Consider the following 18,615-nt stretch of genomic DNA (forward strand, 5'->3'; position numbering starts at 1 on the left):
TGACTCCATGTTGCTAGGGAGCCTCTCTAGGAGGCCAGCAGGCCGCTGGGCGGCCCCGACTGGGATCTGCTGTGGTATGTGGCCCTCTTTGCTAGTGCAGGAGCTTCCTCCGGTCACTTTACCTGCATTCCTTTGAGCCTGGGGCCCAGGCGGGGGACCCTAGCAAGAGGCTTACTTACGTGGTCCCCTGATACCAGGCATGGGAATGGTAGCACTTGCTGATTGTGTGGGTCTCTGGCCACAATGGAAATATTTAACACACAACACCTTAGAGTGGAGGTGGGCAGATTTTTCTCTGAAAAGGACCAGAAAGTAAATATTTGATTAAATTAATTAATCAATTTATTTAGAGACAGAGTCTGGCTTTGTTGCCCAGGCTGGAGTGCAGTGGTGCAATCTTGGCTCACTGCAACCTCCACCTCCCAAGCAATTCTGCTGCCTCAACCTCCCAAGTAGTTGGGACTACAGGCGTGCGCCAGCACTCCTGGCCAATTTTTGATTTTTAGTAGAGATGGGATTTCTCCATGTTGGCCAGGCTGGTCTCGAACTCCTGACCTCAGGTGATCCGCCCACCAGGGCCTCCCAAAGTGCTGGGATTAGAGGCGTGAGTCACCATGCCCTGTTTAGAAAGTAAATATTTTAGACTTGTGGCTCAATACAGTCTCTGTCGCAGCTCCTCAGTTCTGTTGTCTTGGTGCAAAAGCGAAAGGATGTGACTGTGTTCCAATAAAATTTCATGAACATGAATATAATTTTCATGTGTCTTGAAATAGTACTCTCCTTTTGAGTTTTTTCAACCGCTTTGAAATGGAAAATCATTCTTAACTTGCTGACAGTATAAAAACAGACAACAGGCTGGAAGTGGCCCGAGGGCCATCGTTTGCTGACCCTCGTCTGAGTATCCCGTTATTCCTTTCTAGCTATGGCAGTCTTTTCTAACAGTCACAAACAGCTGAATTCACGACTCTATTCTATCCAGTTTCCTGGATAAAACATAGTTCATAACCGGTTAAAATTTCTGGTCAATTCCAAACAGGCGCATATTTATTTAGATGTTTAGAACTGCTCTGTGGAGCCCAGCCCTTTATTTCCTCCAAAGAATTTGTTGATCTACTGAAAATTTTCTTTCAAAAACAACCTTATGGATGTGTTTTGTAAAAGTCTCATTTAGAACCTTTGGGGCCTCACTCAGTCACCCCTGAATCCTCATCTTTTCATGTACACACCTCTGTCCGTTTTCTCCTCTTTTCTTCCTAATTAGCTGCCTGTATAATTAAACCTTTCCTCATTTAGAGGTTCTGAGCCCTCACTGATACACTAATCACCCTGTGGCCCTCCTGTTGCCTCGTCTATTTCCTTTTGAGATGGAGGGCCCAGCACTGAACGGCAGTCAAGGTCGGGCCGCCCGCATTTGTATTACACACTAGTTCGCCATTACCATGGTGTTCGCTCCTTAATACAGACTAATAGCTCATTCTCCTTCATGACCTCCAGTGAGCACTGTGCAGCCATATTCAGTGCTGGCTTTGTGATAATTTCAAGATTTTTTTCTTTAGGAAGTTATAACTAATTCAGGGCCCATCAACGATCATAAATAGTTTAAATTGCTCTTTCGAGTGTGAACTGCCTCCCATGGGCCATTTAATTTACTGAATGTCCCCTGGCTGTGCTTGTTCTGTGACCAGCCCCTGTCCCTGCCCTTATTAACTCTGTTTCTGTATCTCACTTTGGTCCAGTCGGGAGAGGTGGCACTTATATTTGGGAATGAGCTTGTGCTTGCTATTGACCTACCTAGCAATGCATTAAAGATGGATTTGATCTGATTTAAAGTTTTATAAGCCCAAGGGGGTTGCCTCTGGAGGATTTTTGGAGGCCAAACTGATCCTGGAATTGTGCTTATAGGTGGTTTGCATTTGCTCAGAGAAAATCTAGGAATTTTACTTTACCTGAAACTTTTCTGGTTTTGCGGTTTTACTGGGTTTTAATAATTTGCCACCTCTGGAAAACTTCAGAGACAAGGTGTTGCCTAGTTGGCTAGACTAAGTATTTTAGCTGTCTCCAATTGGTAACTGTTTAAGAGGTTTAAAGACACAAATTAAGTTGGTAAAATTTGAATATGTGAATCCGGGTGAAGGATATATGGTGGTTTGGTGACACTATTTTTGCAGCTTTTCTGTTGGTTTGAAGTTCGTTGAAAATGAAAAGGTCCATTAATTAAGAAGGTGGGTCAACGTTCTGTCACAGCAGCACCTGCCATTTGCACACTGCTGGCCTGGCCCGCCTTCCCCCATGGGAACTTTGGTGTGTACTTGGATTTACGTCAGCCCTGTCCCAGTGAATGCTCCTGCTCTTTTGGTCCCTGTCCCCACTTGCCTGCCCCATCTCAGTCAAGAAGTAATCAAATATGAGCTGAGCACCAGTATGACAGGGGAGTGGGGAGTAAGCAGACATTGTCCCTATCCTCAGTACGCTACCATCTAACAGAGAAGACAGAAACTAAGCAGAGAAGCACAAAAGGCTGTAAAGGAGAAGTGCAGGTTGTGGAAGGGTCTAACCCACTGGGGAAGCAGGGAACCCTTCTTGGGAGAAGTGGTGTATTAGTCTGTTCTCACACTGCTAATAAAGATAAACCCGAGACTGGCTAATTTTTTTTTTTTTTTTTTTTTTTGAGATGGAATTTTGCTCTTGTTGCCCAGGCTGGAGTACAGTGGCGTGATCTCAGCTCACGGCAACCTCCGCCTCCTGGGTTCAAGCGATTCTCCTGCCTCAGCCTCCCGAGTAGCTGGGATTACAGGCATATGCCACCACGCCTGGCTAATTTTGTATTTTTAGTAGAGACAGGGTTTTTCCAGGTTGGTCAGGCTGGTCTTGAACTCCCGACCTCAGGTGATCTGCCCTCCTTGGCATCCCAAAGTGCTGGGATTACAGGAGTGAGCCTGTGAGACTCACGCCTGGTGAGACTGGCTAATTTATAAAGAAAAATAGGTTTAATGAACTCACAGTTCCATGTGACTGGTGGGGGAGACCTCACAATCGTGGTGGAATGCAAACCAGGAGCAAAGTCACATCTTACATGGTGGCAGGCAAGAGAGAGAGTCTGTGCAGGGGAACTCCCCTTTATAAAACCATCAGATCTCATGAGACTTATTCACTATATGAGAACAACATGAGAAAGACCCGCCCCCATGATTCAATTACCTCCAACCCGGTCCCTTTCATGACACGTGGGAATTATGGGAACTACAATTTGAGATTTGAGTGAGGACACAGCCAAATCATATCAAGTGGTGTTTGAGCCCAGAACTGTAGGATGGTGGGGTTTAGCTTGGCAAAGAGAGGGTGCAGGTGTGCTGTAGGTCAAGAGACTAGCATGTGTGTGGGATTCCGGGGCATGTCAGAGGTGTTGACAGAAGCCCAGCCTGGCTGGAGCAGAGAGTGCAGGGGCCTGGACAGATGAGTTAGAATAGGCAGGCAGGGTCTTGCAGACTGCTTTGATAGCTTATTTTTCTTTATTCTGAGAGCCAGGGGAAGGAGTAGGCAGTGATGTTATAATGAGATTTGCATTTTTGAAAATAAGCCCTCTTGCTGCAATGTAGAAAATGAATTGGAAAAAGTGGCAGTGGTGACAGGAAGAGAAGCAAGGAGTCTATTGCAGCATCTGGCAAGCAGTGATGCTCTCCTGGTCCTGATGGTGGCTGGGCCAATAGAGAAAATTGGGTAGATTTCAGAGTTGTGTAGGAGGTGGACTCACAGACTTGGTGATTAATTGAACTATCTATTATGGTATTTTTTTATTGAAAAATTTCTGTTTTTCCTTTTGCTTTGTAGATCTGGTTGAAAAATACTTTTCCCAAAAAGCATTTGCAAATATACCCATTTACATGGCACTGACTAATTGTCTTGCTTGTGTATGCCCAAGATGAATATTCCTCATGCAAAGATGATGGTTTATCTCATTCAATAAGATTGTGCTAATTAGAAATTAGGACCTATCCATCTCACATGTTCTGGAAATTTAAGCTGTAGGAGATGAAAATTAATGTAGTTTTTAAGCAATCTATTGAATTTATTAAATTGCAATTAGATGATAGAGTTTGTATTGGAAGATATGAGTTTTGACAGGAAAGAGGCCCTGCATGATACAATCACAATACTGACAAATAAATGCCATTGTACTTTTCCATGACAAGGATGATTTACAATTATAGTAGTACATGGTTCTCTTTGATTTATGGCATCCTGTTAGCCATGGAATTACTTAGCAAAATCAGTTTGACTTGATATAAGATTTTTTCCTTGCCTAGAAAAAAGTTTAGCCTGAGGAAAAGTTGACATTAATTTAGGAATAGTGGAGTTATCATTGAGTTATCAAAATAAATCCGAGGACATAAATCAATTCTACTGCATGGAGAATGCTAAATCGATAAGTCCAGAAAGACTTTATTGATTCTACGGCCATCACTCAAGCCTTCTTCATTAGATTCCTCAGCCATATGTTTAATTGAAATGATAAGGTAGATAACTTCTGGTAAATCTACACATCCTGACTTTGATATGGGGTTGTTCAAGGTAATAAAAATGATTTGGCCAGGCTGGCTCTCTCCTTTAGAGTCAGGAGGGTACACATGGGAAGACTTCACATCTTCTTTCTGTCTCCTATAACTTCCACTCCAGGCAGATGCTAGCTTAACAGTCTTAAGCCACTCCTTCTAAATTCAATTTAAAAACTGTATGAAAAAACTGATCATAATATTAAGAGAACATTTAAAAAATTACTCATAGTTAATACCACCCTGAACCTATTGGCAACTTCTGTGCTGAACTGTATTATCTATTTCTATGTCTTGTCTCTCTCACTTAAATGATTGTGAGCAGTTGAGGGCAAGAGGCATTTAGCTCAGTATCCCTTCAATCTTGTTTCATTGCATAAGTATCTTTATATAGCTGCAGTCAGAACTGTATCAGTTAGCTGTTGCTGCAAAAAAAAAAAAACCCTCAAATTTAGTGGCTTATAACAAGAAACATTTTATTTGTTCATGATTCTTGGAGTCTGGTAGGTGGTTCTTCTGTTCTGGCCAGCTAAGCTGGTACTGGATAGTCTAGGATGGCCTCACTCACATGTGTGGCAGCTGATGTGATGACAGCTGGGATGATGACCACCTGCCTCCCATTATCCAACGGGCCAGTCACATGACAGCAGAAGTGTTCCCATCAGCAAGAAGGGAAGTAATTCTCAAGAACTTGTGCAAGTACTTATCAAGTCTTTGCTTGTGTCACATTTGCTAATATTCCACTGGCCAAAGCCAGTTACATGCCAAGCCCGTATTTGAGGATTGGATAAACGGATTTTGCCACTTGATGAGAGAAGTTGCAAAACATTGTGGCCATTTTTCCCGATATACTACAGAAATGTAAATAAATTTGTATTCTTCTGCTTTTAAAAAAACAACTATAGGTGCTTCCTCTTTTTCCATTTTTTAAAGCGAATATATTATATATTTACAACTTACTAGAGGCTTTAAATATAATCTGCAGATGACTCTAAAATGTAAGTAAAACGATTATTCCCATGTTACCATTAAGGAAGCTCACTGAAGGTCACACAGCTAGTAAGTGGGGAAGCAGAGATTTTAACCTTGATCTCTCTGGCTCTACTTACTCTTAGCAGACTTTTCATCATGATGCTTCTTTCCCTCTTGTTGGGTGTTCAGATGTTCATATTCTTTGAAAATGTAGGAAATATCAGGAGAATTTCCCCAAGTTGTGTGCAACTAGCTCTCTACTTCAACGCTTTTCTGACCCAAGGGTGATTGGACCTTACAGGAGAACCATGTCAACTTTCAAGTGCACCAAATAAGATACCTCTGACTTTAGGTAATTTTGATGTTTGCATTTCCCCTAAGCCATGGGGGCAAAGGAGTGGTAGCAAGATTTCACCAAACACTAAATTAAGGATCTGGGTACCAACCCATGTGACTGCTCACCGTCTCCTCCCTCTTCTCACCAGGCATATTATTGCATTCAAACCTGGTCCAGCAATCTTTCTTTTCCTGCCTCCTCTTCCTAGATCAAGTATCTTCCAGATGATTATCGTGAAATTATTCAGGTATCCTTCAGCCTTCCCCTGGCCAGTCATCTTCCTGTGATTTATCAGCTGACGGTTGGTTCCTGGTGGAACCAAGCTGATCAGACTTCAGGCTCAGGATGTGCTTTGGAGAAGGCTGTGCTAGGTTTGGTAACCTTACTTGTCAAATGGGTGATATTCAGAACAAAACAAAATAGGTATAATTAGTTGGACTGGAAAGATCATACATGAAGATTAACAGTGACATCTAGGAGGAGCTGTCAAAGCTTGGCCAGGAGCTTGGCCAGGAGCTCAGATGGGCTTCTCCACATCCTAACCACCACTTCAAGAACTTAGGCTCAAAATTAGGCAACTTCCCTAAAATCTAAAACCCAGGTATGTGAATGCCTCAAATGCTCAGCCTCTCAAAAATTCCCAGCCAACACAGGTGTGTTTTGGGCATTTTCCTGTGGTGTCCTGGAGTGGCTCATACCAGCTCATGAGAGCTGATTGTCAAATTTTCAGGAAATTTTCAAGCCAATTGTTAAACACAGCCATTCTTAAAAATTAAATTGTGTAAATTTACAATTAAGTAAATTACATGAAAAAGGCAATAAATTCTCGAAACTCATTACTTCCTATTTATTCTACTACCTTTTTACTGTTCTCTATGATTGTGAGGTTATTTCTACCCATTTTTTCAGTATGGTGGAAACAGTATATCACGGTGTGCTATTGCACATTTCTTCCCAATTCTGTAGTCCATGACATCAAAATGGTAGCTTGGAATCAACCCTGGTGGGAATATTTGCACCTTGGAAATCTGCAAATGGTACAAATCAGGGCTTGATTTATTGTCTCGTTGATTGCCTAGACTTAAGAAAGTGATGGAGAAGATGTGAATATTGCATATTAAACTTAAACGTGTGTCATGTCCATAACTATTACATTGTGAATAGTAAAAAAAGGCTTAGGAAATTCTCCCGGTATTTGAAACTATCATCTGATACAGCAAGCAATCACTCATGTCATTGAAGAGCAAGTGAAAATACTGACATACATCTTTATTAACTCACTTTCTTTTTTCTTGTTAATGTAAAGGAAAATATCAACCAACATTCATGTTGTAACCACACTCATTTATCTATTCCAACCCTAGATTGAGTACAGATAGAAGAATTTTGCAAAAATCAACAAAGCCTTGTGTGAGGATCTATTGGCTATATGGAGTTTATCATAAAGAGTATAATTTGTTATTATCTGTAAATTGGGTACTATAGATCCTTTATATTGGTAAGATTTGTATCAAACATCTACATGCAGTATATCTATATATGCATTCATTTTTCCCCAGAGAGCAATTATTAAATATTTACCAATGCTCTTTCTGAAGATGTTGAAGTGTGAGGATGTGGTGGGTCCTTCTATGTGAAATTCAGGGTTTCCCTGGGTCTTCTGGTAGGAAATGTGATCAAGTGTGTTGACCACACAGGAGTGAAAAATCTGTAGTCATCTCTGTGAATGAGATCAAGCGACAGCGAAACTTTCTGCTGGTGTGGGTAACGTGGTGATGGCCATGGTCAGTAAGGCGAGCCAGAGCTCAGAAGGAAGGTGCATCCAGCAGTGGTCATGTGACAACAGAAGTCATGCCAGAGAAAAGATGGCTTGTTTCTTTATTTTGAAGATAATGCCAGGGTTGTAGTAAGTAATAAACGTGTGATGAAAAGTTCTGTCATCACAGGGCCAGTTGCAAAGGAGTATGCAGCCATGTGGCCCAGGCTGACGTCCAATGCTGGCAGCACTGCCTGAATCTTTAGCGTATTTGTAAAAAATTAAAAAAAAAAACATTAAACTCTGCCCCCGCCTCCCAAAACACCCACCAAAAACGATTTACCCCCACACTGTTGGCATATTCCCACTACTCTCTTACTGGTCACATAGAAGTTGGTGGATTTTCCTCCTCGATCTGCGTACTTGAGAATACCATTTTTCCTTTTATCCTTGGCTCCCCTCAGTCACAGAGGGCCCTATAAATGAGCACATTCCGCCAGCTGGGGATGTCCAAAGTAAAAAAAAAAAAAAAGACTTCCCTGCAATCTGAGGCTTTCATAGGAAGAACTGAAACCTGAGCAGGTAGAGGACAGCATTAGCAGTTCCTGGGTCTCATTTTAGGTCTCCTGTAAGTGAATGTCTTGTTCATCACTAAGGGCATTTGAGAATGTTTGCATTTACATTTACCAAAGTAACAGGGACAACAAACATTTATCTGCTTTATCATTTACAAAGCACATCTACATTTCTTAGCTTATTTTGTTTACTTCTAAAGATTTCTGTTTCTAGCATTTCACACGCAGCTGGAGAGGGGGCTAGTTACCATAGACACTGGCTCACTCTCCAGGGTGTAGCGGCCTTTCGGACATGGTATTAAAGGAGTTTACTTGCCCTTTTCTACTCTCTTTATTATACTCAATCTGCAGTGAATTCAGGGCAGGAAACAAAACCCCGGAAAGGGGTTATTAATGGTTCCAATAGAGAGTAATCCCACTTGCCAAAAGTAAGTAGGATGTGGTTACCTTTGATTTTGTTTCTCTCCCCAGGGGTCATGGGTGTGGAAGGAGAGCCGTAGTACATCAAGGGCAGAAACCGGTTGCTTCAAGTGTTATGGAGCGAGTTTCTTAGCATTTCCTAAATACTGTACCTGCCGTAGCTTTCTTCATGTGGTAAATTAAAAAACACATTGATATTACAACAAAGGAAAATACCACCCGACCGGGTTATTTTGTTTTGTTGTTGTGATCCACATCATAGCATGTAATGTTTGCCTTGGAAAAGTCTTCATAGAGTAAGGAATGAATGAAGACAAAAGTCCGTGGTGACTCATTGGTAATAGTTCAAACCTGTTAAAAACAACTGGGAGAGGTCTTTACCGTACACAGGGCTTTGGGAGTTTGCCTATTTTCCAGTTAACGTGATTGATTTTTCAGAGCTATGTGGGATCCCCTCGGACCCACAAATGGTCATTTGCGACTAAAAGAACTGATTTGATGGCCTCCAATGGTCAAACGAAACCAGATTGTTATCAAATCTTAACTCTATGCTGCATGAGCTTGGATTGTCTACAGTGGCATCCTTGGTGCACTTTAGAATGAAAAAAATTCAATTTCAAAAGTAAACACAGAGAACAAAAATAGTTCAGAGGACAGCCTACACAGATAACAAAGCCAGCAAATACAACCGAAGGATGCCGCACTGAAGCGGTATTTTATATAGCCAAGGATTGCCAAATATGTTTTTTCACCGAGATCTGCTTTTTTTTCTCTTTAGTTATTGATTAGCTTTGCGAAGGAGAGAATATTGACATGTGCAGAAGAGCGTAACACGTTGAAATAGTTTTAGATAGAGTATCTGTGGCAGGTCTTCGTGTTTAGATTTAAGTGGGAACCACTGTGGGTTCTGAAATAGCTTCTATAACCAGTTTCATCACAGACCTAATCATCCAAGACATCATTCCCTGTAATTTGACTGAAAAGCAGTGAGACAGCAAAAGCTTCAATTCTTGAAAAGGATTTAGCGGCCAGCCATCTTATGGTTATTAAAGACGTTCTTGTGCCGTCTCCTCCCCTCTCTCTTTACTCCAGCCATGACTAAATAAATCCAGAGGCTTGAATCAAACATGGAAAAGGGGAGCGACAAGCAAAGGACCAGAACAGACTCCTGGGGAAACAATTTGGTTAAAAAAATATTAAACAAGGCTTTACTGTCCTACAGAAGTTCTAGTCTCAAATGATCGAGAACCTCAAAAGTGAAATATTAAAAATTTTTTTTTTTCAGAGGACAAGTAAGGACACTCTTAGGCCAGACTATAGCTGAAAGAACCCAGCATTAGTTAAATGAAGACCTGGCTCTTGGAGCTTCATCTCCACTGCGTGACCTTGAATGAGACTCTTAACCTCTCTTAGCCTTGATCCCTGGTTTGAGGCTATGTTTGCCTTCAGCTCCTTTCACTCCCTGGATTCTAAAGCTTTCCCTTTTTAAGATTAAGATCCTTTGAGTACTTTGCTCTCACATCAGGTCGTCTTAATTCTTATGCTATGGATTTTTAGCAAACTTTATGGTATTTAGAAACTATATAGGCGATATTTGGGAAGGTCAGACATTTTTGGAATGTATAAACCAAAATGTAAGGACAGTACCCCCCTTCAGGTAAGCCTATGTCATCAAAAACTAGCCTTCATTTCAATTATGTACATTATAGCATTAATTTTTTTTGTACTTAAATCTGACTTCTTTTTAAAAATTATTGGGGCTGGGCGTGGTGGCTCACACCTGTAATCCCAGCACTTCGGGAGGCCGAGGTGGGAGATCGAGACCATCCTGGCTAACACGGTGAAACCCCGTCTGTACTAAAAATACAAAAAAATTAGCCGGGCGTGGTGGCAGGCACCTGTAGTCCCAGCTACTTGGGAGGCTGAGGCGGGAGAATGGCATGAACCCGGGAGGCAGAGCTTGCAGTGAGCTGAGATCGTGCCACTGCACTCTAGCCTGGGTGACAGAGTGGGACTCCGTCTCAAAAAAAAAAAATTTTTTTTATATTCAAGAGGTAGATGTGCAGGTTTCCTACATGAGTATATTGAGTGATGATGCTGAGGTTTGAGCTTCTGTTGATTCTGTCACCCAAATAGTGAACATGGCATCCAATAGTTTTTCAACCCTTGTCTCCCTCCCTTCCTCCCTCCCTACCCCTTTTTGGAGTCCCCATTGTCTATTGTTCCCATCTTTATATCCATGTGTACCCAATGTTTAGCTCCCACTTATAAGTAAGAACATGTGGTATTTGGTTTTTTGTTCCTGCATTCATTCACTTGGGATAATGGCCTCAAGCTGCAGCCATGTTGCTGCAAAGGACATGATTTTGTGTTTTTTTTATGGCTGGGTAGTATTCCATGGTGTCTGTGTACAACATTTTCTTTATTCAGTCCACATTGATGGGCACCTAGGTTGATTCCATGTCTTTATGGCAATAAATTTTTTAAAAAGCAGAAAGAAAGCTAGATGTATACATGTTACCCAAGTGTCTGCCTTCTCCCTTTGAGGGTCACCTTCCTCTAGGATATAGTTCTTCTGCTGTGCCTGTGTTGACCTGTGTCCCTGCCTTTGTCTCCATTGTCATTCTCTCCTCACCTTCATGCCGTCTCCTGGGACTGCCTTCACTTCTTACTTACCTGCTTTCCCCTCTGTTAGAAACCACCAGTCCTCATTCTTCCAATACAGTAATGATAAGGCCCAGGCAGAGCAGGTCTCACTAAAAGCCTGGAGATATTAGAGGGTGGTTATGGAGCAGGACAGGGGAAAAATTCAATTCAAACATTACTGTTAGAAATTTATCAGCCAACCCCACTGTAATGGGCTTGTGGTAATGTGGGAAATAGAATAACTAAATGGAACACTTAATAGTTTCCCTTTCTTTCCCTCTCTCTTCTTAGGTCTGGAATAGGATCTTTAGGACAGAGAGGGAGAGAGCATTTCAGGACAAGCAAAGGGAAGGGTGGGAGCTGCAGAGAGCAAGTTGCCACTTCACAGTTTGCCTGCAGCTGGCTCTACTAGCAACCATCCCCCACCTAGATGAATGTCTTTAAACAGTCCTTTGGCTCGCGGCCTCTGGGCAAGCTGACTACACTGCAACGCAAAGTCTGCTTGCCGAAGCTGGCCAAGTTCCGCATTATTCTCTGTTAGCTCTCTTACAGGTCTGTCTTTGTGAACGCTCTTTGGGGTGTTCAACCTCCTAGTGACAGATATGGAGTCTTAACACTTTTTAGGCCCCTTGATTTTCTTGGGGGATAAAAAGACTCTTCCGTCAACTCCTCTGATCCAACTTGTCTGCAGATCATGTTGAAACTCCTTTTTGTCACATCCTCCAGATCACAATGAAAAGGCAGATTAACGTGATTACTGAGGTCCATCAACTCATGGCTCTTGGTTAAATGATACCTACCATGAACCACAGGACAGAGCTCTGCAGACTTAGCTGGCTGCCTCATTACAATGACTTCATTTAATAAACTTGCTGTCAGCAGCTTAATCCTCAGTCAAGAAGAAGTATGAGAATCCTTGTTAGCCATGATTAGGCAACATTGAGGGTTAACAAAATTTTCTCATGCCCCAGCATTCATTTTCATTAAAAGTATAAATGAATTTAAAAAAAAATTGCAAAAAGAGCACCTGATTGGCAGCGACTTTTTGGGTTTTCACCATGAAGTCCTGTTGCGAGTAAGCCATTTTAATCGTTCAGCTTGATTTCACATTTGGGTTTTTGCTGGGAAGTGTTTCCTATATGGTTTCTAATCCTTCAGGCTCCTCTTCTGCCTTACCTGTCCTTGGGTCCTGTCAATCAAGCTGGCTAGGTGTTCTTCACAACTGTCATTCTGTTAGGGGTGTGAAATATTTCCCAGAGGTGGCAGTGTAAGGAAGGGTTTTCTATCTTTCCTCCTGTTAGAGTCTGAGATGGAGCCATGCTGAGTTCTTGGCAGTGCCCAGGGCACTGTTCAGACTGGTAGATTCTGACCTGACTTTGAGCTCCTATCCCCAACCTGCCTCTTCTGGAAGCACCACCTTAGTACTCTCCCATCCCCCACCCCAGTGCTGGGAGTTCCTGAAGCTCTCCACAGACGTTTCAGAAATGAAAGAATAAGGGGCTAGAGGGTCCCAGGTTCCAAATGCACAACTGTTGTCTCTCTTTTCTGGACAGCTGTGTTTATCTGGGTCCTTGGAGAAGCAGAGGTCAAGACAGGATTAGACATGCAAGGATTTTATTAGAGGAAATTCCTATGTGAGGGAAAATGGGGAGAGAGCTGGGAAAAGGTCTGGGAGCTTTCAGAGTGTGATGCAAGAGTGACTCCGCACCCCAGTGCAGGAGGGAGCGGGGAGGGAAGGCTGGGTGGCAGCATCATAGAGTGCTTTGCAAATAAAGCAAGGTTAAGCAAGGCTGCTGTGGAGTCTCAGAACCGAAGTCGTCCACCAGCCTCAGACTGACCTGCCTTGGCATCTGGGCTTCGTGCAGTCATTGGCCTCAGTGCAAAGGTGACATAGCTCTCAGAATGCAGCTCTGGGGCCCTTGGGGAATGATCCACGTAGAGTTGGAGGCATGTGAGGTGAGGTGACTTCCCATGGCTGTCGCACAGCCAGTGGTGAGAGCTGAGCCAGATGCACTGCAAAAAGCAGCACAGCAAAAGGGATATGATTATAGTTAAAATGAAGAACAAAACAATGCAAGGAGCACCCTGACCCTGAGCCCTCACCCTAACCCTAACCCTACCAGTGAGGAAGCACGAAGGAGTATTTGTATTGCCTGGGCCTGTGAGCTTCACTCCAGCAAGGAACTCCCAGCAAGGGACATTCCAGCAGTTGGAACTCCCAGTTCCAACTCTTGTATCTGGTGGTTTGCCATCCTTTTGGGGGACTGTTTCTTGCTGTCCTTACACACTAGCTCTGAGCTCAGTTCTCTGATTATTTCTCTGACCAAGGGAAGACATAGATCTTTCCTTAGAGCACAGCTGAGACCAGGCTGCTGTGTGGTTCTGATGTTTCCACAGGCTTGTTGGGGGAACAGCAAAGGGGTCTTCAATAGCATTAGCTGGAGGGGTTTCTTCCAAAAGGCCCTTGCCTTCCCAGGGACCAAAGAAAGGTATAAATAACCACAGCTGAACAGAGTTGGTTTTAAACAAAATAATCATTCTAAGTAGTTTAGCTGGTGCTGGCGGAGGAGAGGGAGACAGGAGTTACCAGGGTTCTGGCCAGTCCTAGGCGGGACTGTCCAGACAGTATCTCCTAGGAGGGGTGTCCTGGGCAGAAGGGACAAGGATGAGGGCCTGATGGCATGTCTGGAAGTGACAGATGGGGAAAGTGATACAGGTGCTCCCTTTCACTCATCATTGGAACCCAATGACTGCAGTGTCTTCCTAACCCATCCCTCTGCTTCCTTCTCCCCTCCACACTGCCCTCCCCCAGGCAATCCATCCTGACTGCTACAGTTATTTTTCTTGCACACAAATCTGATCATAATGCTCTTTCTGCTAAAACCTCTTCAATGGCCTCCCAGGCCTTCTGGACTCCTAGCATAGCATTCAAACGCAGCCCTCTCCCCACTCCTTGACTCTCACCAGCAGAACTCCCGGTTCCAACACTTCTCTGGAGGTTTGTCATCCTCTTGGGGGACTGTTTACTGCTGTCCTCACTCACTAGCTCTGAACTTGGTTCTCTGATTACTGCTCTGGCCAAGGGAAGACATAGATCTTTCCCTAGAGCACAGCTGAGACCAGGCTGGTGTGTGCTTCTGACATTTCTGCAGGCTTGCTGGGGGAACTGCAAAGGGGGCTCCCCACAGATAAGCTAGTGAGTATGGGCAGCCAGCTGTGGCTGCAATGGGAACAGCTCTGTCCCTGGGGCCTCTCTTGGCAGCCCCCAGCTTGTGGCCCTCATCAAAGACAATTTTTCCATCTCATTGCCCAGGGGTATCTTGAGAATCTCTATATACTTAGAGTCCAGTTTAGGAGAGCTATGTCCAGGAAGAGGAAGTCCCCACCTCTTATCTCAAGCCTGCCCACCATGTTTTAATGTCCTGATCTAGGACAACTGGCTTTGGGAAGAACCTGCCCTTTAGGTAGGCCACCCACACTGTCACTCACAGTATTGTGGCCTCCCACTGTGGCCAATGATCCAATGACCTCCGGCATGGACATCTGCAGGAGATCTTTTGTCTACAGCATCATCATCTCCTTTTGTGTCCCTTGTGTGCTTACGCTTCAGCCTGAGCCTGTTTAAATGCTCATTGCTGGGTTTTGCTCCTAGCAATCCTGATTTGGTGGGTCTGAGGGGCGCTATGGCTGATTCTAATGCAGCTTCCACCTCCAATGCAGCTTCTCTAAGCTTGTGTGTCCAACTCTGTGCTTGTATTAATATTTAGAAGAATGGAATGGGCTCAACAGTGCACAGAGCTCAGCTTCCAAAGAGAAATGTAGATGCCAAGGTCAGGTGCAAAGGACAATTGCAGATAGGAAAGTGAGACTGCGGAGTGACATCCAAGTTCAGGGAACTTGGGCAGATCTTGTTACCCACTTATAGCTACCACTTGGGTATCATTTTTCCCATTTGAAATCTAAGTCTGTCAAATACATTTTTAGTGGAGAGAAGAAGGAGATGGAGTGATTTGGGGAATCAAAAGTCAAATCTAGGTTTTTGGGTTTTGCACCAAATTTGATATTGCCTGCATTGAAAAGAACCCCTCTTCTTGGATTAGATTGAATTTATTTGGTGCAAACCCACGCTCTATAAATACTAGTATATTTTTACTTTTTAATACCCTGCATGAAAGTCCAACGATGATCAGAAACGGCAGCTATTAACCTTGTAATCTCCTTAATGCAATTAATTAATTAGTAAATTGCTACCAATTTGAACTGAGACATGCATCCATAGTCAGTGTAAATATAAAGCTGATGAAATAAAAAATTTACTGTTTTCACATTGGCATTTAACAATGAAGTTTTTAATAAAAGGCAAATTGCTTTATGTAGAACATTTACTTAATTGTATTTGCTCTAGTGGGATTTTATCTGAATTATCTGGCATGTGAAGGAAATGAACTTAGTTCTAACTGAAGAAAAACGAATCATAGGGAGATTTACTACAATAATTTTCAAGGACTGCATCGAGAGGACTCATCAATTTTATTCTGTATCCACTATAGAGGGAACTAAAAAACAGAAAATAAATGTACCCTGTAAATGTAGCAGTGTGCTCTACTGGAGATTAAATCTGTATCTTCCCTCTGTTCTAGCAAGAAAGGTTTGGAAAGATATCTTGTTTCCCCCTGCTTTTTTTTTTTTTTTTTTTTTTTTTTTTGAGACAGGGTCTCACTCCTGTCACCCAGGCTGGAGGGCAGTGGCAATCTAAGCTCACTGCAGCTTTGGCCTCCCAGGCTCAAGTGACCCTCCCACCTCTGCCTCCTACAGGCACATGCTGCCAGCCTGGCTAATTTTTAAATTTTTTGTAGAGATGGGGTCTCACTCTGTTTCCCAGGCTGGTCTTGAACTTCTGGGTTCAAGTGATCCTCCTGCCTCAGCCTCCCAACGTGCTGAGATTACAGGCATGAGTCACCATGCCCGACGATATCTTATTTCTTAGGGAGAATAAATCTTTGAATGACTGAAAGTACACTGTCTCCTGCTCCTATGTAGAGGTCTGAGACTCCTGGAGACATGGAGAAAGATTACAGGTAGTTTTATTTTTTAGAAAAAGAGGTGTGAGCAGACATTTTGGGACCAGGGTCTGGGTGGAGAGACTAATAATTCTCCAGAGGATGCTTGGAGCAGAGATGGTGCCTGGGGCCCTGGGGCCATGAGGCAGTGAAAGCTGAGCCCACCTGGATCCTGCATTCTAGGGTTGGCTTGCAGTCCACAAAGTGGGGGAGGAAGGGAGCACAGAGAAATAGCTGTGAAGACTGGCATCCTGCCAGCACCTGAGGCAAGAGTGGGGCAGAGGACCCACCTGGCCTGGCCTGGTGTGTGCCCGTGTCCCTCGTTCTTGGCTTGTCCGTCCTACCCACTGAGGCTCTGCTCCAGGGTTCTCTTGGGGGCTCCTGCAGGCAGTGACACCCACTAACCCAGTCAGGGAGAGGGGCTCCAGTGCCCACACTTTGAAGGGTGTCTGAAGCATGCAAGTGCCCCCTGGGGAAATGTGGATGAGTCAGAAGCGCTGGACATCTCAGTTACATAGGGCTTAGTTGTGAGGCAGAGTTTTCTGATAATGAGGTGTGTTAGTCACTGGGATGAAGACCAAGTGGGCTTTCCTTAGGGACCTTTGAAATAGGCAAGTCTCATCCATTTGGGGGTGGATTTTGGATTTCGTGTGGTCTTGCCTAGTAGGGAATGGGGGATAGGGGATGGAGAAGGAAAGGCAGTCAAGGATAACAAAACAAGTTTACTTCTCACACTAGGGGTATCTGCTTACTCAGTTGCTGAAATCCGGATGGGTCCCATCATTGTTCCTGCTTCTGGTTTGTTAGAACTTCCCCAGGGCACATTAAAACAAATACAGAAATCAGGTGCATTATCTTTTATGCTTGGTTTCATAAAAATTAATTGCAGAAAAAATATATGCTGTGACATATGCTTTCTATCCCACCAAGAGAGGAATCAATGTAGCACTTTCTCTTGTGAATAGAACTCAATAGTTCTCCTTTGTGTTGTAAAATGGTATTATAGTCATGCCAGAGAGTGGCATTGCATGTAATTACAAACCTGTTGAGTTCTGTGTTTAAGCCCAGTTTGAGGGAATGTGGCGCTCAGGGTTTTTAATCACACAGGATTAAACTTGGCTTTCAAGTTTTGTATAAAGCTAGTGTAGCTGGTAAATGTGCATTCTGACTACCAGTGTGAAGAAAAATTAATTCCATTCAGGGAACTCGGCCTACATGCACTGGTGCTGTTGGATCCGTTTTGTGGAAAGGGACAGTGTCCTTCCTGCTACAGAGCTCATGCTTGATTGGTCTGTATTAGTGTCATCCTGGCTGTCAAAATATTTTGAATATTTCTTCTGACTTACATCTGCACTCCTTTTTTCACATGTAGGTTGGATTACCAAGCTGTAACCCAAGATGAGCTGTCCAACCATGAAAATAAACACCACTGACATGTCTAAAATTTATGGGCAACTGATGAAATGCAGTAGATTTACAAGGAGCTACCCCCCAGGCTTCATCAAATGAGGCAACTGAGTGCTGTTGAAATAATTGTTTTATTTACAGTTCCTTAAACTTCCAGTGGGCAGACTACCAAACCAGGGTTGATCATACCTGGGACCGTAGGTCAGTAACATCCCTTACTTGTAACCATTTCTCCCTAGAGTCCAGACTAGTGGACATGCTCATCTGGTCCAACCATGTTCTGGCCTCCATGACTCTGATGGTTCAGCTTACTAGGTCAGCTCTCATGGAGTTGTACATATGCTTTCCTGCAAGATCAAGAAAGTTGATCCCCTGGTCACCTTGAATCCCTAGTCCTGAATGTTGTATTCTACACTGAATTTCTCAGATGCATCACTCTGTCTGGAAGGGCTGAGAATGGGGAGGAAGATGGGAAAAGGTAAAAAGCTTTGGGAGTTATGTAACAATGTTGAAGTTGGAGATTGTATTTCTCTCGTTCATTTTTCCTGGGCCATTGTAAATACTTCTTGCATAAGCACAGCCAGTCATATGTGGTAGGCCAGTCCTGACCTACTATTCCAAACATATAATTATGACTTATAATAATAATAATAAGTAGGACTATAATTATCATGTAGTGATGGAGCGGCCATGTGCTGAACACAGGGCTAGATGGTTTCACATACATTATCTCATTTAGATTTTATTTATTTATTTTTGAGACAGGGTCTTGCGCTGTGGCCCATGCTGCAGTGTGGTGACACCGTTATAGCTCACTGCAGCCTCAAACTCCTGGGCTCAAGTGATCTTCCTGCTTTAGCTTCCTGTGTAGCTAGGACTACAAGTGTGTGCC

General features: G+C 43.3%; 1 pseudogene, besides 3 other annotated features; it reads left to right on the top strand.

Moving 5' to 3' along the window:
* RPL23P4 (ribosomal protein L23 pseudogene 4) lies at positions 7,472-7,873 on the top strand (annotated as a pseudogene).
* Positions 8,101-9,300: an enhancer, noted in NCBI's record as "MED14-independent group 3 enhancer chr2:220563164-220564363 (GRCh37/hg19 assembly coordinates)". NCBI's record gives its function as "activates an origin of replication core promoter dependent on BRD2, BRD4, P300/CBP and CDK7 cofactors, and independent of MED14, by STARR-seq in HCT116 cells {active_cell/tissue: HCT116}" and the evidence as "EXISTENCE:reporter gene assay evidence [ECO:0000049][PMID:35650434]".
* Positions 12,569-13,069: an enhancer, noted in NCBI's record as "H3K4me1 hESC enhancer chr2:220567632-220568132 (GRCh37/hg19 assembly coordinates)". NCBI's record gives its function as "activates a minimal SCP1, AML or CMV promoter by ChIP-STARR-seq in naive H9 embryonic stem cells {active_cell/tissue: H9 hESC(naive)}" and the evidence as "EXISTENCE:reporter gene assay evidence [ECO:0000049][PMID:30033119]".
* Positions 16,882-17,650: an enhancer, noted in NCBI's record as "OCT4-NANOG-H3K4me1 hESC enhancer chr2:220571945-220572713 (GRCh37/hg19 assembly coordinates)". NCBI's record gives its function as "activates a minimal SCP1, AML or CMV promoter by ChIP-STARR-seq in primed H9 embryonic stem cells {active_cell/tissue: H9 hESC(primed)}" and the evidence as "EXISTENCE:reporter gene assay evidence [ECO:0000049][PMID:30033119]".

This window comes from Homo sapiens, chromosome 2, assembly GCF_000001405.40.
Source record: "Homo sapiens chromosome 2, GRCh38.p14 Primary Assembly".
Taxonomy (NCBI): domain Eukaryota; kingdom Metazoa; phylum Chordata; class Mammalia; order Primates; family Hominidae; genus Homo; species Homo sapiens.